At 42.3% G+C, this 20,724-nt stretch overlaps 2 long non-coding RNA genes and 1 other non-coding gene across 4 annotated transcripts in view, besides 4 other annotated features; 1 reads left to right on the forward strand and 2 right to left on the reverse strand.

Annotated features, from left to right (window-relative positions):
• Positions 1–8,157: 8,157 nt before the first annotated feature.
• Positions 8,158–20,724, reverse strand: part of LOC105375199 (uncharacterized) — a 191,528-nt gene continuing 178,961 nt past the window's right edge. For both annotated transcript variants that reach the window (XR_927114.3, XR_927122.3), the window contains one exon: positions 8,158–8,357. This is a non-coding gene — a long non-coding RNA (uncharacterized LOC105375199). The remainder of the gene's footprint in view (positions 8,358–20,724) is intronic.
• LOC105375200 (uncharacterized) lies at positions 10,428–14,897 on the forward strand. The gene is made up of 4 exons (XR_001745151.2): positions 10,428–10,467; positions 13,150–13,205; positions 14,147–14,306; positions 14,739–14,897. It is a non-coding gene; the product is annotated as an uncharacterized LOC105375200 (long non-coding RNA).
• Positions 16,923–16,992: an enhancer, noted in NCBI's record as "active region_25773". NCBI's record gives its function as "activates an Ori minimal core promoter by ATAC-STARR-seq in GM12878 lymphoblastoid cells {active_cell/tissue: GM12878}" and the evidence as "EXISTENCE:reporter gene assay evidence [ECO:0000049][PMID:35858748]".
• Positions 18,815–18,882, reverse strand: MIR148A (microRNA 148a). The gene has a single exon (NR_029597.1). It is a non-coding gene; the product is annotated as a microRNA 148a (primary transcript).
• Positions 19,836–19,975: a silencer, noted in NCBI's record as "silent region_18027". NCBI's record gives its function as "represses an Ori minimal core promoter by ATAC-STARR-seq in GM12878 lymphoblastoid cells {active_cell/tissue: GM12878}" and the evidence as "EXISTENCE:reporter gene assay evidence [ECO:0000049][PMID:35858748]".
• Positions 20,106–20,325: a silencer, noted in NCBI's record as "silent region_18028". NCBI's record gives its function as "represses an Ori minimal core promoter by ATAC-STARR-seq in GM12878 lymphoblastoid cells {active_cell/tissue: GM12878}" and the evidence as "EXISTENCE:reporter gene assay evidence [ECO:0000049][PMID:35858748]".
• Positions 20,446–20,655: a silencer, noted in NCBI's record as "silent region_18029". NCBI's record gives its function as "represses an Ori minimal core promoter by ATAC-STARR-seq in GM12878 lymphoblastoid cells {active_cell/tissue: GM12878}" and the evidence as "EXISTENCE:reporter gene assay evidence [ECO:0000049][PMID:35858748]".

Consider the following 20,724-nt stretch of genomic DNA (forward strand, 5'->3'; position numbering starts at 1 on the left):
CAGTGTTGCATAGAAAATGAAGATGAAAATATTCTTTGAGGAGAGCCATGACCTTCAAGAAAAGAAGCAGCTATTCATTTATGACTCAAGACTTCAAAAATATAGTGAATGATCATGAAAGTTGGCCAGCTTTTATGGACTACCTCTTTGCAATTGCCCATAACCTAGCCCTGTAATATACCTTTTCATGTGTCAATTTTTTTTGACTTTTCATGATTTTTTTTCATTTTTTTCCACAATTTTAACTTGTCAGCATAATTTTTTTTTAATTTGATAAGCTATGTATTTCATCTTCACATCATTTCCAACACTGGACTTGTATAAATTGGTGAAAACTTTTAGAGAGTTCTAGTTCATTTTATGCATTTTTTGCAAATTTGACACCATGAAAGGGCATTATCACAACGTTGACTTTATGTGGAAGCATTGTGTGTGTACATAAAAATGTAAAAACTTCCTCAATAAATGACAAGATGTCTTTTTTGTACATCTGCACTTGTGAAAGATAAAATTTCTTGAGATCTTGGCTCTTTGGGTGACTATGTGGGTGTTGGTGACCCATCACGGTTTTTGCTCAATCTTGTCAAAACTTAGGTTGTCTGTCACCGTATTTTAGATGACCACAGTTATAAAAATGAGTGCATGCAATTACCAACCATAGTGTTATGTGTCAATACATTTTGCTTTTTGACCTATTTTTTTATGAATATGGTTTGTCTGCCCATAACTGTTATACCTGCCATTGGTATAGCTGAGTGTCTACTCTTGTAAAAATATGTATGTTATTATTGCCTGTTTTATTGTGGAAAGTGGCCTATGAAGTGTTCTGTCATGTTTTTACGCTTCTCAAATAAATCTCCTTTTAAAATGTAAATAAATGTCTTTTAAATGATTTAAAATATTTTTTCCAGAACTATTTTTGGGATTTTGATTTTTCAAGATTCCAACATTCAGGATGATGGCATTCGGGATTGTGTCTTTCAGAATTTTGCCCAAACCCAGCTGGCATATAGTAGTGTTCAACAAATATGACATGAAGTACAACAGGGCTGCCATGTTGCACAACTTAGGATGCGGTATATGTGGTGCTCTAGCCTGTTCCTAGAGCAAGGTTCTACCAAACTTTAGCAGTGTTCCTACAAACTCCCTATGATGAAGCTGCCACAGTTTATCTATGCTAGTGCCTGAGTGTGAATTATTTCAGGATTACAGCTGCAGAGTGGTTCATAAACCTATAACTGTATCTTAATTATGGTAGCATGACTTCCTGGCCTCTAGTGTTGACAATCCAAAATAACTGCAAATTTTCATTACCACACTAATATTTACATATTGATCATTTAAAAAGCAGTGATTAGTCAATATTTTATAAGTGATCTTCACACTTTTTTTTCTATCCCTCCAGAAAAAGCGTCAGTATGACTCTGCTGAATGTCAATTACAGCCAGGCAATATTGTCATATATTTATTGTGTTACTCCATCTATTGCCTTTCTTTCTAACATAACGTGTAGTTTGGATTTCAACTGTTTGTTTACATAGCCACTCCCTTTCCCCTGTAAGAACTTTGAAAAACTATGTGCCCCCAGCACATACTTAAGTAGATACTTAATATTTTTCATAAGTCTAAATAGTTGCAAAGGATGTTATTTCTGGTCATTGAAAACATTGAACAGAAGCTGGGCTGAAGAGAAGGGAGCTGGGAATCCTGCAGGGGGCTGCTGTGCACTTGACTCATCCCTGGCCCCCAGTGACTCCAGGGGAATGAGTGAGTTGAACAGGAAAGGACCAACTCACTCCCACCATGGGCCTCTAGAATCCCAACAGGAGGAGAACCCTCAACCACTACAGACAATTGAGTTGGCAGGAAGAGCTTCTTAGAGAAGTGGTAGGGGAAGCACACCAGTCGATGTAGAGCCCAGAGGGTTTGGTGAGGGAGTGTCTGTAGTGGAGCATGGCCAAAAAAATTAAAACCCATCCAAAGGACAGCAACTTCAAAGACTGAAGGAACACCAGGCCACAAAGATGAGGAAAGAACCAGTGCAAGAACTCTGACATCTCAAAAATCCAGAATGCCTCTTTCCTCCAAATGACCACACTACCACTCAAGCAAGGGTTCTGATCCAGGCCAAAATGGCTGAAGTGACAAAAATAGAATTCAGAATAAAGATAGGAACACAGATCATTGAGATTCAGGAGTACATTGAAACCCAATCCAAGGAAGTAAAGAATCACAATAAAATGATACAGCAGCTGACACACAAAATAGCCAGTATGCAAAAGAATATAACTGACCTGATAGAGCTGAAAAACACACTATAAGAACTTCATAATGGAATCGCAAGTATTAATAGCAGAATAGACCAGACTGAGGAAAGAATCTCAGAGCTTGAAGACTGGCTTTCTGAAATAAGAGAGTCAGACAAGAATAGAGAAAAAAAGAATGAAAAGGAATGAAGAAAATCTCTGAGAAATATGGGATTATGTAAAGAAACCAAATCTACAACCCATTGGTGTCCCTGAAAGAGATGGGGAGAGTATAACCAAGTTGGAAAACATAATTCAGGATATCATCCATGAGAAATTCCCACCCTAGCTACAGAGGTCAACATTCAGGAAATGCAGAGAACCCCAGTAAGATACTTCACAAGAAGGTCATCCCTAAGACACATCATCATCAGATTCTCCAAGGTCAAAATGAAAGAAAAAATGTTAAAGGCAGCTAGACAAAAAGGTCAGGGTCACCTACAAAGGGAAGCCCATCAGACTAATAGTGGATGTCTCAACAGAAACCTTAAAAGCCAGAAGAGATTAGGGGCCAGTATTCAATATTCTTAAAGAAAAAACTCCAACCAAGAATTTCATATCCAGCAAACTACGCTTCATATGTACACAGACCAGTGACACTATAAAGCAACCAAACAAACAAGTCTACATAATAACCAGCTAATATCATGATGACAGGGTCAAATCTACACATATCAATACTAACCCTGAATGTAAATGGGCTAAATGCCCCAATTAAAAGGCACAGAGTGGCAAGCTGGATAGAGAACCCAGACCCAATGATATGCTGTCTTTAAGAGACTCATCAAACATGCAATGACACCCCTGGGCTCAAAATAAAGGAATGGAGAAAAATCCACCAAGCAAATGGAAAACAGAAAAAAGCAGGGTTGCAATCATAGCTTCTGACAAAACAGACTTAACCAACAAAAACCAAAAAACACAAAGAAGGGCATTATGTAATGGCAAAGGGTTCAACAAGAAGACCTAACTATCCTAAATATATATGTATCCAACACAGGAGCACCCAGATTCATAAATCAAGTTCTTAGAGACCTTCAAAGAAACTTAGACTCCCACACAATAATAGTGGGAGACTTTAACATCCCACTGACAGTATTAGACAGATCACAGAGGCAGAAAATAAACAAAGATATTCAGAACATAAACTCAGCACTAGATCAAAGGAACTGGATAGACATCCACAGAACTCTCCACCCAAAAACAACATAATATTTTTGCATTGCCACAGGGCACATACTCTAAAATCAAACAAATAATCCAAAATAAAACACTCCTCACCAAATGAAAAAGAACTGAAATCATAACAACCACTCTCTCAGACTACAGCACAATAAAATCAGAAATCAAGACTGAGAAAATCACTCAAAACCATACAATTGTATAGAAATTGGATAACCTTCTCTTGAATGACTTTTAGGTAAATAATAAAATTAAGACATAATCAAGAAGTTCTTTGAAACCAACGAGAACATACCAGACAACATACCAGAATCTCTGGGACACAGCTAAGGCAGTGTCAAGGGGAAAATTTATAGCACTAAACACCCACATAAAAAATTAGAAAAAAATATCAATTTAACTACCTACCATCACAACTAAAAGAACTAGAGAGCTAAGAGCAAACCAATACCAGAGCTAGCAGAAATGAAATGAAATAACCAAAAACAGAGCTGAGGTGAAGGAGACTGAGACACAAAAAAACACCATTTAAAAGATCGATAAATCCAGGAGTTGGTTTTTTGAAAAAATAACTAAAATTGATAGACCACTAGCTAGACTAATGATGAAAGAGAGAAGATCCAAATAAGTACATTTTAGAAACAACAATGGGAATATTACCACTGACCCCAGAGAAATACAAATAACCACCAGAGAGTATTATGAACACCTTATGCACACAGACTAGAAAATCTAGAAGAAACTGACAAATTCCTGCATATATACACTCTCCCAAGACTGAACCAGGAAGAAATTTAAACCCTGAACAGACCAATAATGAGCTACAAAATTCAATCAGTAATAAATAGCCTGCCAACCAAAAAAAAATCCCAGTACCAGACGGATTCACAACCAAATTCTACCAGATGTGCAAAGAAGAGCTGGTGACATCCCTACTGAAATTATTCCAAAAAATTGAGGAGGGGGTACTCCTCCCTAACTCATTCTGTGAGGCTGGAATCATCCTATACCAAAAACTGGCAGAGACACAACAAAAAACGAAAATTTCAGGTCAATATCCTTAATGAACATTGATGCAAAAATCCTCAACAAAATATTGGCAAACTGAATCCAGTAGCAGATCAAAAAGCTAATCCACCACAATCAAGTAGGCTTCATCCCTGGGATGCAAGGCTGTTTCAATGTACACAAATCAATAAATGTGATTCATCACATAAACATAACTAAAGACAAAAACCACATGGTCATCTCAATAGATGCAGAAAAGGCTTCTGGTAAAATTCAACACCTCTTCATGTTAAAAACCCCCAATAAACTAGGTATTGAAGGAACATATCCCAAAATAATAAGAGCTATCTATGACAAACCCATAGCCAACATCATACTGAATGGGCAAAAGCTGGAAGCATTCCCCTTGAAAACTGTCACAAGACAAAGATGCCCTCTCTCACCACTCCTATTCAACATAGTATTGGAAGTCCTGGCTAGAGCAATTAGGTAAGAGAAATAAAGGGCATCCAAATAAACAGAGAGAAAGCCAAATTATCCCTGTTTGCAGACAATATGATTCTATATCTAGAAAACTCTGCAGTCTTGGCCCAAAAGCTCCCTCACCTGATAAATAACTTCAGCAAAGTTTCAGGATACAAAATCAACGTACAAAAATCACTAGCATTCTTATACAACAACCACGAAGCTGAGAGCCACATCAGGAGCACAATCCCATTCATAATTGCCACAGAAAGAATAAAATACCTAGTAATATAGCTAACCAGGGAGGTGAAAGATCTCTACAATGAGAACTACAAAACGCTACTCAAATAACTCAGAGAAGACACAAACAAATGGAAAAACATCCCATGCTCATGTATGGGAATAATTGATATTGTTAAAATGGCCACACCACCCTAAGCAGTTTATAGATTTAATGTTATTCCTATCAAACTACCAGTGATATTCTTCACAGAACTAGAAAAAGAATTTCAAAATTCAGGTGGAACCAAAAAAGAGCCTGAAAGCCTATGCAATCCTAAGCAAAAAGAACAATGCTGGAGGCATCACATTATCCAACTTCAAACTATATTACAGGGTTACAGTAACCAAAACAGCATGGTACTGGTACAAGAACAGACATATAAACCAATAGAGAGCCTAGAAATAAGGCCACACACCTACAACCTCTGATCTTTCACAAAGCTGACAAAAACAAGCAATGGAAAAAGGACTCTATTCAATTAATGGTGCTGGGATAACTGGCTAACAGTATGAAGAAGATTGAAACTGGACCCCTTCCTTATACCTTATACAAAAATTAAGTCAAGACGGATCAAAGACTTAAATATAAAACCCAAAACTATAGAAAACCCTGGAAGGTAACCTAGGAATACTATTCTGGACATAGGAATGGGCAAGGATTTCATGACAAAGACTCCAAAAGCAATTGTAATGAAAGCAAAAATTAACAAATGGTATCTAATTAAACTAAAGAGCTTCTGCACAGCAAAACAAAAACAAACCTATCAACAGAGTAAACAGCCTAGAGAATGGGAGATAATATTTGGAAACTATGCATCTGACAAATGTCTAATATCCAGCATCTATAAGGATCTTAAACAAATCTACAGGAAAAAAACAAACAACCCCATTAAAAAGTAGTCAAAGAACATGAACAGTCACTTTTCAAAAGAAAACATACATGTGGCCAACAAGCATATTTTTAAAAGCTCAACATTACTGATGATTAGAGAAATGTAAATCAAAGCCTCAATGAGATACCATCTCACACCAGTCAGAATGGCTACTATTAAAAAGTGAAAAAATAACAGGTGCTGTCAAGGTTGCAGAGAAAAAGGAATGCTTATACACTGTTGGAAGGAGTAAAAATTAGTTCAACCATTGTGGAAAACAGTGAGGTCATTCCTCAAAGACCTAAAAACAGAACTGCCATTCGACCCAGCAATCCTATTACTGGGTATATACCCAAAGGAATATAAATCATCCTATCATAAAGACACATGCATGTGTATGTCTCCTGCAGCACTATTCACAATAGCAAAGACATGGAATCAACCTAAATGCCCATCAATGGTAAACTGAATAAAGAAAATGTGGTCTATATACACCATGGAAAACTATGCAACCATAAAAAAAGAACTACATCACGTCCTTTGCAGAAACATGTTTGGAGCTGGGGTCATTATCCTTAGCAAGCTAATGTAGGAACAGAAAACCAAATACTGCATGTTCTCACTTATAAGTGGGAGCTAAATGATGAGAACATATGGACACATAGAAGGGAACAACACACACTGGTGTCTACTTGAGGGTGGACAGTGGCAGAAAGGAGAGGATCATAAAAAATAACTAATGGGTAATAGGCTTAATACCTGGGTGATGAAATAATCTGTACAACAAACCCCCATGACATGACGTTAACTATATAACAAACCTGCACATGAACCCCTGAACTTAAAATAAACATTTTAAAAATTCAAATGTTAAAATAAAATAGCAACATTATTCTTTTATATATCTCCAATGAAGCTTAAACGTCATGGCAATTTGATTCCAACAATTATTCATTTTAAAATATACAAATACGCTCTTATTTAATAATCAGAATATCGATGTTTTCTTATTTCTTGAAACTATAATGCATTCTACTTTCCCTACAGAAGTATTATGACATAATTTTTTTTTTTTTGAGACGGAGTCTTGCACTGTCGCCAGGTTGCAGTGCAGTGGCGCAATCTTGGCTCACTGCAACCTCTGCCTCCCAGGTTCAAGCAATTCTCCTGCCTCAGCCTCCTGAGTAGCTGAGATTACAGGCGCATGACACCACGCCTGGCTAATTTTTGTATTTTTAGTAGAGACGGGGTTTCACCATGTTGGTCAGGCTGGTCTCAAACTACTGACCTCGTGATCCGCCTGCCTCGGCCTCCCAAAGTGCTAGGATTACAGGCATGAGCCACCGCGCCCGGCCTTATGATGTAATTTTTTATACTTAAAGCCTTTTTACTGATTATTATACTTCTCTATAATCAAAATACATATATAAATTGTGATTTAAATTTAATTTCCCATTGCCATGATTTTCCAAGTATTAATTTTGCTAGATTGAGTCTTCATTATAATTATTACTAGTATACAACTGATCAAAATAATGTAACTTTGTAAGTTTTGATAATTACTAAACATAACCAGGAAAATTTTTCGGAAATGTATTTCTTCATCAGGTTAATGGGAAAATTTTAGGGCCTTAATTGAAAGAAGCAGCATGGATAATATCTTTTTTGCTTCTTGCCCATCTCTTCCTGATAAAATGGAAGCCCCATGAGGACAGAAATGTTTTACTGTTATGTTCACTGCAGTAACTCATCATCCAGAACTGTGCCTGGTATATATTAGGTATTTAATAAATATGTATTATGAAATGAAATTGTCCCTTTGCTATCATAAAGGTTTCTACACCCAGGCAATATACTTTAGTAAGATTTGGGATGGGGGAGGGTGGTGCCTTTCCTTTGTAGAGTAGCAAAAGGATGATAGAAAGGAAGAGATGTAGGAGAGGGTAAATAACTCCCAGCCCAGAGGTTCTTATGCAAGTCTGTTTTAGGAACTCGACGATAGGAAAGTTGAGGACACATAACCCAACACTTCGATGCCCAAGTGCCCCTTACAAAGTCTTTATATACCCCCCTGGGTGGGTGTGCCCCAGTCTGAAGACCTCTGGACTTTATAACAGTAATCAAAGGTGCCATGCTATTGTTTTTAAAAAGAGAAGGTGTGTCAGCATCAGGAAGAATCAGGAGAACAGCTTCTTTCTATTGTAATCATTCCAAGCTGGAAGCTTCCCAAACCAGGATCAACCTAAAAAGAAATGATGGAAGATAAATGTAGGCTTTAATTCAATCCCACAAGAGAAAAACTTGGAAAGCAGGTATATGGAAGGACATAGTTATCTCAACTTCACATTAAACATTAGAGGAGCCAACATTAGTGAAATGAAATTGAAATTATGTTAACTCTCATAGTCAAGATACACACAGGCACACACACACAGATTAGAACCCACAAACTCATTCACTCATTCAGTGATTTACGGAATGGCCACCATATGCCATGCACAGTGCTGGGTGTTGGGCTATAGCAACAAATTATGCACAAATGGACCTGCCCTCATGGAGACTAGAATTGAAGCCAATGTGACCAATGTTCTAGGCATTGTACGACAATTTAGTTTCAACAAATTCTGTTTCAGAAACAGAAAAACAAACCTAATGATTTAGCTTGGGGAGGAAGAAAAGATATGAGCGAATCAAGGAAGAAAAGATATGAGAGAATAAGCTTCCTATTCTTTCCTGTTTTTCCTGGTGAAGTACAGTTTTTCAAGGTAAATTATCCATAATCCATTATAAAATGTCTAAAATCGTTTGAAATCCACTACTTCAAAGCTAAAAAGAAAAACTGAATTCAATTTTCCGTTTTCACGGGGTACAGATAAATCCTGATCCATCAACTGTTAACATCAAATGACTTAACAGCCCAGGCTGGTCTTGCTTAATCACTTAACCATCCTCTTCCTTTTGTCTAATCCCCAGATACATCTCAACACCCTAACAAACCAGTTCTCTGACGGCCTTTCAAAAGCTGCATTGGTTGCCTTTCCTCTTCTCTAACACACACACTCTCTCACAGCTTAGGAAGACTGAAAAATCTGAAGGCGTATTTTCTATAGCACTTCAGCTCATGGTAATAACTTCAATATAAATGTTGACTCATAGGAAAACAGTAGCCAACTGAAAGTGCAGCTTAAGAAATGAAGCACACAGCAAGACCTAATCCGCAGATACCAGTTCTGTCTCTATGCTGCAGCAGGGGGTCAGCCTCATTCATCACTGAGGAGACGGAGCATATCTTTTTGACAGCATGCAGCAGAGTTGGGAAAACAATTCTAATGGAGCCCTAATTAAGGGTGCCATTTCTACCAATGAAGATGAACCCAGGTCCAGCCCAAGACGTATCTGAAGGACACAAATCCCCTCCCAAATGTATTAAGTGAAAACAGCACCTCCATCCTCTTCTCATGAGCCTCTTTAATAATGTCTCCAGTTATCCACGCACCTCCCACCTCCAGGCAAGGCGTATGTGCAACTGAACCTTCAAGTAGAGACATAAGATGATTTTTAACTTTGATTAGAAGCTTTTCAAGATAATCTCTTCCTGTTTTGTCCTCTGGCAAGAGCTCCCCTTCCTTCATTTGGTCACAGAGTGGTTTTCTTTTAAAAGAACTATTCAGCTTTTGGAAAACCGACAAGAAGAAACTGAGAGAATTCACACACCACAGAAAACTGGGTACACAGCTGCTACTAAACTTCATTGTCCTTTTATCTCCAGCCTCTCCACCAACAGAAAGACACAGAAGGAAAGAGAAAGAGAGACAGAGAATGAATCTGAAGTCTGAAACCTTGTAGTTCGTTTGAACCAGTCAGTTCTTGTTCAGAAAGGAAGAGGAAGGGCAGGAGTGGCTATTGGCGCCAGAGGGAGGGTTAGTGACTCAGTCCTACCCTCCTAACAGATTAAACACCAAGGAACACAAGCCTTGGAACCAGACCTGGCTCTGACCCTCTGCCCCGCCCCTTGTAGTGTGACAGGGAAGCTCCAGTTCCCTTATCATACCTCAATTTTATCCATAAAGTGGCGACATGAGGAAAATGCCCAGCATTTAGTAAGTGCTCAATCAATATTGGTGGAAAGGTTCCTAATAACAATTATAATAGTACTAGGTAACTTTAATGATGATTTACCAGGTGTGAGGCACTAACAATTTTTTTTTTTTTTTTTTTTTTTTTTTGAGACAGAGTTTCACTCTTATTGCCCAGGCTGGAGTGCAATGGCACAATCTCGGCTCACCACAACCTCCGTCTCCCGGGTTCAAGTGATTCTCCTGCTCCAGGCTCTCAAGTAGCTGAGATTACAGGTGCGTCACCACACCCAGCTAATTTCGTATTTTTAGTAGAGATGGGGTTTCTCCATGTTGGTCAGGCTGATCTCGAACACCCGACCTCAAGTGATCTGCCGGCCTTGGACTCCCAAAATGCTGGGATTACAGGCGTCAGCCACCGCGCCTGGCCAGCACTAACAATTTTAATCTGTTCAACAATTCTGTGAGCTGCATACTATCATTATTCTTGTTTTAATGAGTAGAAAGCTAAGAAACAAAGGTTAAATATCTTGCCTAAAGCCACCTCGCTACCAAGAGACTAAGCCTATGCTTGGCCTCGAGCAGCCAGGCTTAGAGCAGGACAGTCCAATGGACCTTTCTGCAATGATGGAAAATGTTCTATAATCTGTGATTTCTGGCACAGCAGCCACTAGCCCTATGCAGCTGTTGAACACTTTAATGTGGCTGGTGCAACTGAGGAAATAAATTTTGAATTTTATTTAATTTTAATGAATTTCAATTTAAAAAGCCACATGTGGCTAGCTGCTACCATATCAGGCATCACAGCTCAAGAGGTCCCACTGTTAACTTCCAAAGCTCAGGTACATCCAGTGTAGGCAGGAGACTTCAAAAATGACACTAATAAAATTGGGACTAATGTGTCTATACATGTGACTGTAATGCGGGAGACAAACATATCTCATTGCTAATAATATTGCCATATTATTTCCTATTTGCCTTCTACCTATATGACAAACTTATTTTTTCAGTAAAAAAAATCTATTATTTTTAAAAAGTCAAATGATCAAAAGTGTATAACCTATTAAGCAAAACTTCCTTTCTCCAGCACCACTTCCACCGCCCCCATCCTGATCCCCTTCAGACCAGAGCACACAAATTCTGTATCTATTTGAGTCTATATGTACATGAGTGCACACAGAGGAATAAAAATGGGATCCAATCCCACTTAACTGTTCTACAACATTTTCTTTACATAAAATTACATCTCATTCACCTTCCATGTTGATTGCCTACATATCTACCTCATTCTTTCCTAGTAAATATTTTGTTGATGGCTTTATCCCAATTTATTTAATTGGTCTTCTATTAATGGAAATCTTAATTAATTCTCAATTTTGTCTTTAAAAATAATACTGCAATGAGTGTACAACCACCATGGAGTTGCAGCTTTTTAAGACCACTCCCTATACATGGTTCAGCAGACATTGTTGTTTGTCTACCCAAAAGACACCCCTCCACCTCTTCTTTGCTATCAGAATTGACCTGGTTCAGGGTCCACCCCAGTTCCTCGTGACTCAGACTTAGGTCCTGATTGGTCTAGGCCACTTAAGTGATCCCATTTTCATCAGCAGTGATTGGTTAATACCTGGGCATCCAACTCAATTCTGCCCCTCGGCAAATAGCAGAAAATGGCTGGAGGTCTTGAAAAAACAAGGTGCTCAGGGACATTCTTCTGTGAGGGCTGCAGCCATCACATTGCCACAAGAGAACCTAGTCTGAGAATAAGACAAAGAAGCCGAGGATGGCAGAGGAAAAAGATGGGAAGAAGCCAGATCTTTAATGCAGTGTTGAGCTGCTGAATTAACCAAACTGGAGCCTCCTTACCTCTGGGCTTCCTGTAAAGTAAGTTATTTTTTCCTTTCAGCCAGTTGAGTTTGGGTCTACATTAATTAGAACCAAAACTACCTAACCAATACAAATGCAATTGGTGGTTCAAAGCAGATGCACAGATTTTATTCTGATGGGTACCCTATAGTCACTTCTGTTTAACCTCTTCATAGCATGAATGCAGAAAATGTCTCAATGGCATGGATCATTCTTCATCCTCTAGAATGGCAGCATTCTGCTACATCGGTCCAAGCTTATTTGAACAGCCCTCCCATCAGCATCCCCTGCCTGATGCACACAGATGATATTGAATTAAATATACAACCACGACTGGGCACGGTGGCTCATGCCTGTAATCCCAGCACTTTGGGAGGCCGAGGTGGGCAGATTGCTTGAGTTCAGGAGTTCGAGACCAGCCTGACCAACAAAGTGAAACCCTGTCTCTACTAAAAATACAAAAATTAGCCAGGCATGGTGGCACGCCTGTAGTCCCAGCTACTCGGGAGGCTGAGACAGGAGAATCGCTTGAACCTGGGAGGCAGACGTTGCAGTGAGCCGAGATCACGCCAATGCGCTCCAGCCTGGGAGACAGAGAGAGACTCTGTCTCAAAAAAAAATATATATATATGTATATATATATATATATATATATATATATATCTCCAGAAATCTGGCCAGACTAAAGATAAAGATCTTCCGGAGCTATATTTCCTAGCCTTTTTCATATCATGTTACACATAGAAAAGGATAACATTTTAGGGCACACTGGGATAAATGGATAGTGCTATTCAAAGCCAAGGGTTTTTCACCTAAGGATTCCTGCTGCCCTAGTAGGCCCTGCCTGGCCTCCCTGGAGGAGAGAACAAATTTGAAAGCCAGTTCCACTTGAAAGCCAGTCATGGAACACTGGTTGTGAGGTTTGCTCTGGAAGGATTCATCATATGTTGATTCCAAACAACATTATTTTTTTCTACATTTTAACGTCTCTGAAATTAGGATGCATTTAATAACCAATAACATCTTAAAAGTGCTCTCAGCCAGGCGGCAGGCATGATATCACTAACATTTTCTACCTTTGTTCAAATTCAGACTAACGATCTTCTGTTGGTCCCTTCTGGTAGGGCCGAGGAGACCCCAGCATCACGGTGAGTTACTGTTTAATGAGTACAGAGTTTCAGTGTGACATGATGAAAAACTTCTGGAGGTGGATGGTGATGATGGTTGCACAGCAAACAATGGGAATGTACTTAATACCACAGGAACGCACACTTAAAAGTGGTCAAAATAGTAAATTATATGTTATGTATATTTCACCACAATTAAAAGCAGGAGGGAAAAGGCCCAGCATTAAACTTTGCAGAAAGAGCATCAGTGGCTTCGATGCAGAGACAATAGTGGAACACTCTTTTAAGAAACACTGCATCTTGGCTTGTGTTCTTGATGGCACAGAAGATGACACTATGCGAAAAAAATATATACAGACGTGAGGACCCTGAATATGAAGAAGTTTTAGGAATTCTTCAACCAACTTATTTCTCTTATAGGTTTTTTTAAATGTATTCATAGATGTGACATGCGACCAAAAAAAAAAAACAAACAAACCAAAAACTATGCTGGCAATTTCCCATTTGACCCTCCATGTCCACACCCCACCGTCTTAACCCCTGGAGGCCACCCTCCTTGGACCATATCAGGGTATTCACTCCCTTGGTTCCCCCCTTGCTGAGCTGTGAGTTGGCAATGGCATTTGGTTTCCTCCACCAAATGCCCCAGCTCCTGGCAGGCAGCCCTCTCCTACAGCCTCAGCTCCCCCCAGGAGCTGTTCTCTCCAGTCGCCCCTTGATGGCTGGGAGTGGTCACAGCTTCCCACTGCTGCCAGCACCAGAGTACTTCCCTCTTCCTGGTTGGCTTCCCTCAACCCTGCCCACACCCTGTGTAATATTCCTTTCAGCAACCTCTCTTCAGTGCCCCCTTCCCTTTGGAGCGTGCTTTGGCAATGGTTAATTTCTTAGATTTGATGAATGAGGGTGAAATTTTCAATAAGCCATAAAGAGTTAAAGAGATGTTTCCAATATTACACTTCCAGAATTAATTTGGGATTACAGCCAAGCAAGTTTAATGTTTCGAAATATCATACACAATGCAGCTGAGCGCCAATTTTATTCCCTGGGTTAGTACTAATCAGCAAAATGTACGTAAGGGCCTCAAGAACAGACTGCCCTGAACGTTCCTGTGTGTTGCTCCAGGTCAGTGGGTCTTCCTGCTCTCATCCTACGCCCACCCACACCCCTCCTGTCCATGCCACTGGCTTTCAGCATGTCTTCTCTCCATGACTCTAACAGCTTCATAACTGGCTAGTTTGCCTCCCAACAACTCACCCTGCCTTCTGCTGCCAGAATATATTTTCTACAAAAGCAGAGCTGATTAGGCCATTTTCCTGCTTACAGGCTTTTGTTGCTCCCCATGGCTTCCAGGGTGCAGTTCAAATGTTTATAGGTACCACACAAGACCCTTCCTGGTTTTCCCCTGCCAATCTCCTAGCCTCATTACCTGTTGCTCATCTGCCTGCCACACATAAAGACTTGCTAATTCCCAAACACATCATACTGTTGCATATTTCCATGAGTCTGTACTTGCTGTTCCCTTGAACTAAAATGCCCTTTCCTCCCTTCATTCAGGTACCACCTACTCATCCTCCAATATCCAGCTGGCACCTCCTCTGGGAAGACTTCCTGGATATTTCAGGTTGATTTAGCAGCATGCTATGTGTATCACACTGAAATGGCCTACATCCAGAAGCTGACACATGGTAAAGAATTAAAAGTTTCTTGAAAGAATGCATTAATGCAACTTATTTTCTGCTTCTATTGTTTTTCTTGTAGTATACCAACTAGGACACTTTTTGAAGAAACTGCAATTCTTCTCAGCATTCAATTCTGTCCAGTGGCAAAGGTGATCAGGAGATTCAAAGTAGTAAAAATAATCCCCAAAGTAGTGCTACCACTAGGCCCTGGAAACCAACCTCACATACTAAAGACAGACTGAAGATCTGCATTGAGCTAAGCCCTAATTATGTTCAGTGTTCTTAACTTTGAATCTAGACTCCCAGGCTTTGTACTATGCCGTAACCAATTGGGCAACTAAATGATGACCGGTACAGCACAGCTGCTAAGATCACAGACTAATCCAAACTGCCCGGGTCTGTACCTTGCTTCAGCCACTGTCTAGCTGTGTGTCTTGGGCAAGTTAGTTAATCCCTTTATGCCTCAGTTTGCTTATCTGTAAGATGGGAACAATATTAACAGTACTGACCTCATAGAATAAATGATTTCACATACGTGAATGGTTACAACAGTGCTTTGCACAAATTAAGTACTACTTAACCAGCTATTTTTTGTATTTCTTCTATTAACTGGCAAACACAGAGAGAGAGGAATATCTAAGAAGCAAATCAGAGGTAATTTCAGGGTGTCTCTTTGCTGTGTGGAGACACTCCTGGCTCTCCTAGTGCCCACTTAATTAATTCACAGATCAGAATTGCAAGACCTATGTCTAATATTGCCAGGGGTCTGCAGAAGAGACATTGTCCTCCTTCCAGCTGGCTCCTCCAACACAGCCAAAGCAACATGGGTTGTTCATTCCTTACACATCAACTATAGCTGTGGGAACAATGAGTTCTGCCTTTTTTTCCCTGTCCACTGCTTTCATATTTAAGGTTGCTCCTGTGTCAGTAGTGATTATCTCAGAAGATCTCCCTGTATATAAGGCCCCATGAACAAGAAAATTTTGTATCAATTAACAAGAGACAAGCTTAGGGGAAGAAGTGCTTCCTGAACATCACCTGCAGACTAGACTATAGCACTCTTGTGGGATCCCAACAAATACGTCGTCCACCCCGCTCCCAACTATTTAAAGAATATTTGAAAGCACTCGAATTCTTTGGCATAAACACTCTTTGAAATGCAAGTTATGTCGAATCCTAGAATTTTACTTCTGGAAGATGTGGTGGGAGATTATATAAAATGGGGAATCAGTGACCCAGCACCATGGCTTCCCAGCTCCTCTGCACGCCCCCCCATATTTCCCAACCCTTGCATTTGAAATTTAAAATGTTCTTTAAAAAATTAAAGGCTTTCAGTGTTGAGTGATAGTCACGCACTGCATAAGGATATTTCAGTCAACAATGGACCAAATATATGACAGTAGTCGCGTAAGATTATAATGAAGCTGAAAAATTCCTACAGCCTAATGATGTCACAGCTGTCATGTCATAGCATTTTTTTTAAATATAGTGTAGCCTAAGTTTATAATATTTATAAAGTCTACAATAGTGTAACGTCCTAGGCCTTCACATTCACTCACCACTCACTGACTCACCCAGAGCAACTTCTAGTCCCACAAGCTCCATGCATGCTAAGTGTCCCATATGGGTGTAACATTTTTTACATTTTATATTGTATTTTTACTGTACCTTTTGTACGGTTAAATAAATCCTTACCATTGTGTTACATTTGCCTACAGCACTCAGTACAGTACCATCCTGCACAGGTTTGTAGCCCAGGAGCACTAGGCTATGGCATACAGCTTAAGTGTGTGGTAGTCTCTACCACCCAGGTTTAAGAACACTCACTCTGTGATGTTTGCAAAAACAATGAAATCGCCTAACACCACGTTTCTCAGAACCTATCCTCATCATTAAGCAATGCATGACTAAAGTTTCAGCTGCACCTGTTTGGTTCATTCACATAAAGTATCTAAAATAAAGACAGGAGTGCCAAGGCCATGCAAAGTAGGTTGCTAGTGATGGTTTCCTTTGCCCAGCGATCTGGGTTAAATGAACACCACGGCCTCCCCAGCGTTCCTTGTTCTTCCTTCCCTGACGTTTATCACCCTTCTGATTATTTTATATTTGTATTGTCTACCTCTTGCATGAGAAAGACCTCCAAGAGGGCAGGGTTCGGGGCCTATTTTGTTCACTGTTGCATTCGTAACGTCTAGAGTAACACCTGATGCTCGGGAGGTGAAAATACACTGATTGCTAAACGACTGAGGTCTATGAGACCATGCCAGGTTTACAGTAAGCACCCCAAGACTGCCGATTTTCCCAGTTCCTATTCCTGGCATCCTTAGCACCAGAGTAAACCACAGCCCTCCTGCTTGGTTAGTCCTTAACTCACTTGTGGTCACAAACAGGAGAAATGCAAATCACTTAAGCATAGAAGTCAAACCAGACTGAATCATGTCAGGGACTCCAAACCTTGCCTTTCTCTGGAGGTGAGAGATCCTGACCTAATTCCTTTGTATGGATGACTACTCTCCCAGTCAACCGCTCCACTCTTTACCTCCCATTCTCTTACAAAGTTGATTTAAGTTTTCTTAAAATTCAGTATATTCAGACTATCTTGTGGAGATGTACAGACATAAGAACTAGGAAAGAGAATCCTCTTCCTCAAGTAAGCATACCTTACATCTCAAATGAACACAAGACGTACTTGAGTTTGGATCACTTTATTTAACTGCACAGAAATAATTCAGCCATTTTTGGGTAAAGGATTGAGGAACAAAAGCAAAGCAGTCACTGATGGAAAAGTGGGAGAATGGATAATGGCCACACAAAAGAGAACACATGCTGCCTTAGGATCAATACACAGCATTTCTGTGAAAAGCAACTGGTAGGTCCTGCCATTAAGCTCTAACATCAAGCAGCTGAATACTTTCTCCCTCATTGAGCCTTCCTCCATTATCATCCCTCTCCCGATGATAAACCACTGGAATATACCTAAGTAAAAAAAATGGTGGCTTTCTTTACCAAGGGCTTCCCAGAGACACAAGCAACCCCCAGGTTTCTGAAGCATCCCATAAAATACATCAGAAGGCCCTTCCCTTACCTGTCAGCACCACGGGCACAGGAACCATTTCCTTTTTTCCCTACCACCCTGCGTCCTGTGCCTGGCCAAAAGCTCATAAAACCAAAACAGGGCAATGTCCATGGAACAGGACTACAATTTGGTGCCAGTCACTGACCCACTATAGAGAGCAGGCTATTGATAGAAACTCACCAACCCAAACCTCCATTCCACTAGGGATGAGAGAGCAGTCTCTCCACCTAAAGGATCTCCACAGCCCAAAAGCATAAATGTCCCCCTCCCCCAGTGGCTTTCAAAATGCTTTCTTGGAAAAAGTTCTTCCTTTCCATTAATAAAACTTACTTTAAAAAACAAAAGTGAACTGCATCTAAATCGGAAGCAGAATTGAGACTAGATCTCCAAACTCAATCCCTGCAGGCTGTCATTTATCCAGCAGGTCGCTTGAGTAAAAGGACCATTATCTGTGGCTTTTGTACAAATACATTTCCTTCTTTAAGGGTAGAGAGTTTAAATTCCTGCAAGGCACTGCACACTAACACACCCATTAATAAATCTGCAGCTCTCCTGGCTCAGTTTAAGTGAGGCCAGTCTTTCAGTACCTGTTAAGCAACCTTGAAAAGTCCAAAGCTTTATTTTTTTCTTCTTTAAACCAAAAAATTCTACAGTCAGGAGTCCACCAGGGTAAGATGAAGAGATTTGGGGGGATTTTGTTCCCATTTACAGGGTTTAACCCACCCGCTTCAAGGGAATTGGTCAAGTTCCTCGTGCTGCACTTGGACCCCCTCTGGCCTTGCCCCTCCCCCAAGGGAAAGGCGCAGCGACGTGGCCACCAGGGCCACTCGGCCTGGCGTCTGGAGCACTGGCGGCATCGGCGACCACAGCCTCTAGAGACAAAGTTCTGTAGTGCACTGACTTCTATCATACTCAGAGTCGGAGTGTCTCAGAACTTTGCCTCAAAAGACCAAACGTGCTGTCTTCCTCCAGAAGTTTCTTCCTGCAGGTGTGTTCCCCCACCCCCCAGCTAAGACAAAGAAGAATAACTCGTTAAAAGCAATTTAGTTCAGGATGCGACCGATAATGGAACGGGTCATTAATTATGGAAAGTTACTGCCGCAGTCAGCAGGAGCAAATGCCCAACAGAAATGGTGTTTTAACAGCCCGATTCGACAAATTCTGGTCGCAATGTCACAGCAAAGGGGCTGCAAGAATCGCACACTCTCCTTCCTTCCTACCCGTCCTCAGATTAGAACCCATTCCTGGTCGAACCCTCACCTCCCTCGGTAGTTATTTAAACTTTTGCCAGCAGCTAACTCACTCTAACTTGTGGCAACTTTTTACCTTCCCATCTGGAAAGCTGGGGGCGGGGGCGCTGCACGAGGACGAATATTCGGAGCTGAAAGAGTTAAACGGTGGGGAACAAATACAGGCCCGGGAAAAGCCCCTAAGATGGGACGACCCAAGAAAGACCCGCTTTGCGGGGCCTCCCCTGAGACCCCCTTCCCCAGCCATTCCCAGTACTCTATTCCCGGTCTTCCAGCCGCCCGCGCCCAGCCCCGGGAACTCGGGTCGAAGTCGTCCCATCCCCTCCGTTCCACCCACCCACTCTTTGGGATTCTCCCTGCCCCATTAGGCAGTGCTTCCCGCGGACCCCGTTCGCGCACAACCTTGCACACAGTCCCCAAGACTGCTCTTCTCCCCCTCCCGGCACCCCCTTTTCCCTGCAGCATAAGCGACCACTCTGTCCCCCATCCTAGCAGACCCCCTCCCCCCACATACCGCACCTGAACAGCTGTTGCGCGCGTGCAACAGGTCTGGAAAGTGCTTTCCCATCTTCCCCCAAACCCCTCGCCACCGTTCCATCCCCCGCCACCCCTAAGAGACAAGGCCGGAGGGGCAGTGGGCTGCGTCCCCCGGGCCGGGGTGCACGGGCGGCTGGCGGAGTGCGGGGCGCCCAGAGGCTCCCGGGGTTGGGGGCGGTGGTCGCGCTGGGCCGGGACACCTTCGCGAGTGGCCCCTCGTGCGCCCGCCGCAGGCTCCCCAGCCTGCCCCTCCAGCGCCGGCCGCCAGGCATTCCCGGGCCGGCTCCCCCCTCGCGCTCCGCTCCGCTCCCTTCCATCTTGACTTTTGCCGACGTGGAAATTTTGGGTTTGGAGACGACCTGCGCTCTTATTGGCTGCCGGCGGGCGGGGTCGGAGGTCACGGCTGCTCTCGCTATTCCGCGCCAAGGGGAGCCGCACAGCGGCTCGTGTCAAGTCAGCAGGTTCCCTCCGCCTCCCCCGGGGTCACGTGCGCCCCGGGCGGGCCCGGGAGACGCCTCCTTATGCAAATAGAGCGGCCGCGCGGGGCTGGGGGCGGGGGCGGGGTGGGCGGTGGCGCGTGGGGGCGGGGGCGGGGGCGCGGCCGGCGCTGGGAGGGCGGGGCGCTCCAGGTGGCCACCTGGCTCGACGTCCCGCCCCGCCCTTCTGCCCACCAGCCTCTGCCAGGCTGCCTGTTCCGCTTCCCGCGACACTCGGGCCGGGCGCTGTCCCCGGCCAGCCCCGCTGGGCCCAGGGAGCCCGCGTTTTGCAAGATGCCCCTGAATGCCCGCTTTCCCCGGAGCCCCCTCCTCCAAACCCAGCCGGAGCCCTGCCTGGGCCCGGTGTCTCCTGGCTGGGGAGGAGGCGGCGGCGAAGCTGCTGCAGGGCAGAGTGCGAAATGGAAACCTCGGGAGGACAGTTTCCTCCCCTGGCAGGGAGTTGAGAACTAAATGCGAGATTCCCGGTAAGGGAATTCTAGGACAAAGCAAAATCAAGAATTC

This window comes from Homo sapiens, chromosome 7 (genome assembly GCF_000001405.40).
Source record: "Homo sapiens chromosome 7, GRCh38.p14 Primary Assembly".
Lineage (NCBI taxonomy): Eukaryota > Metazoa > Chordata > Mammalia > Primates > Hominidae > Homo > Homo sapiens.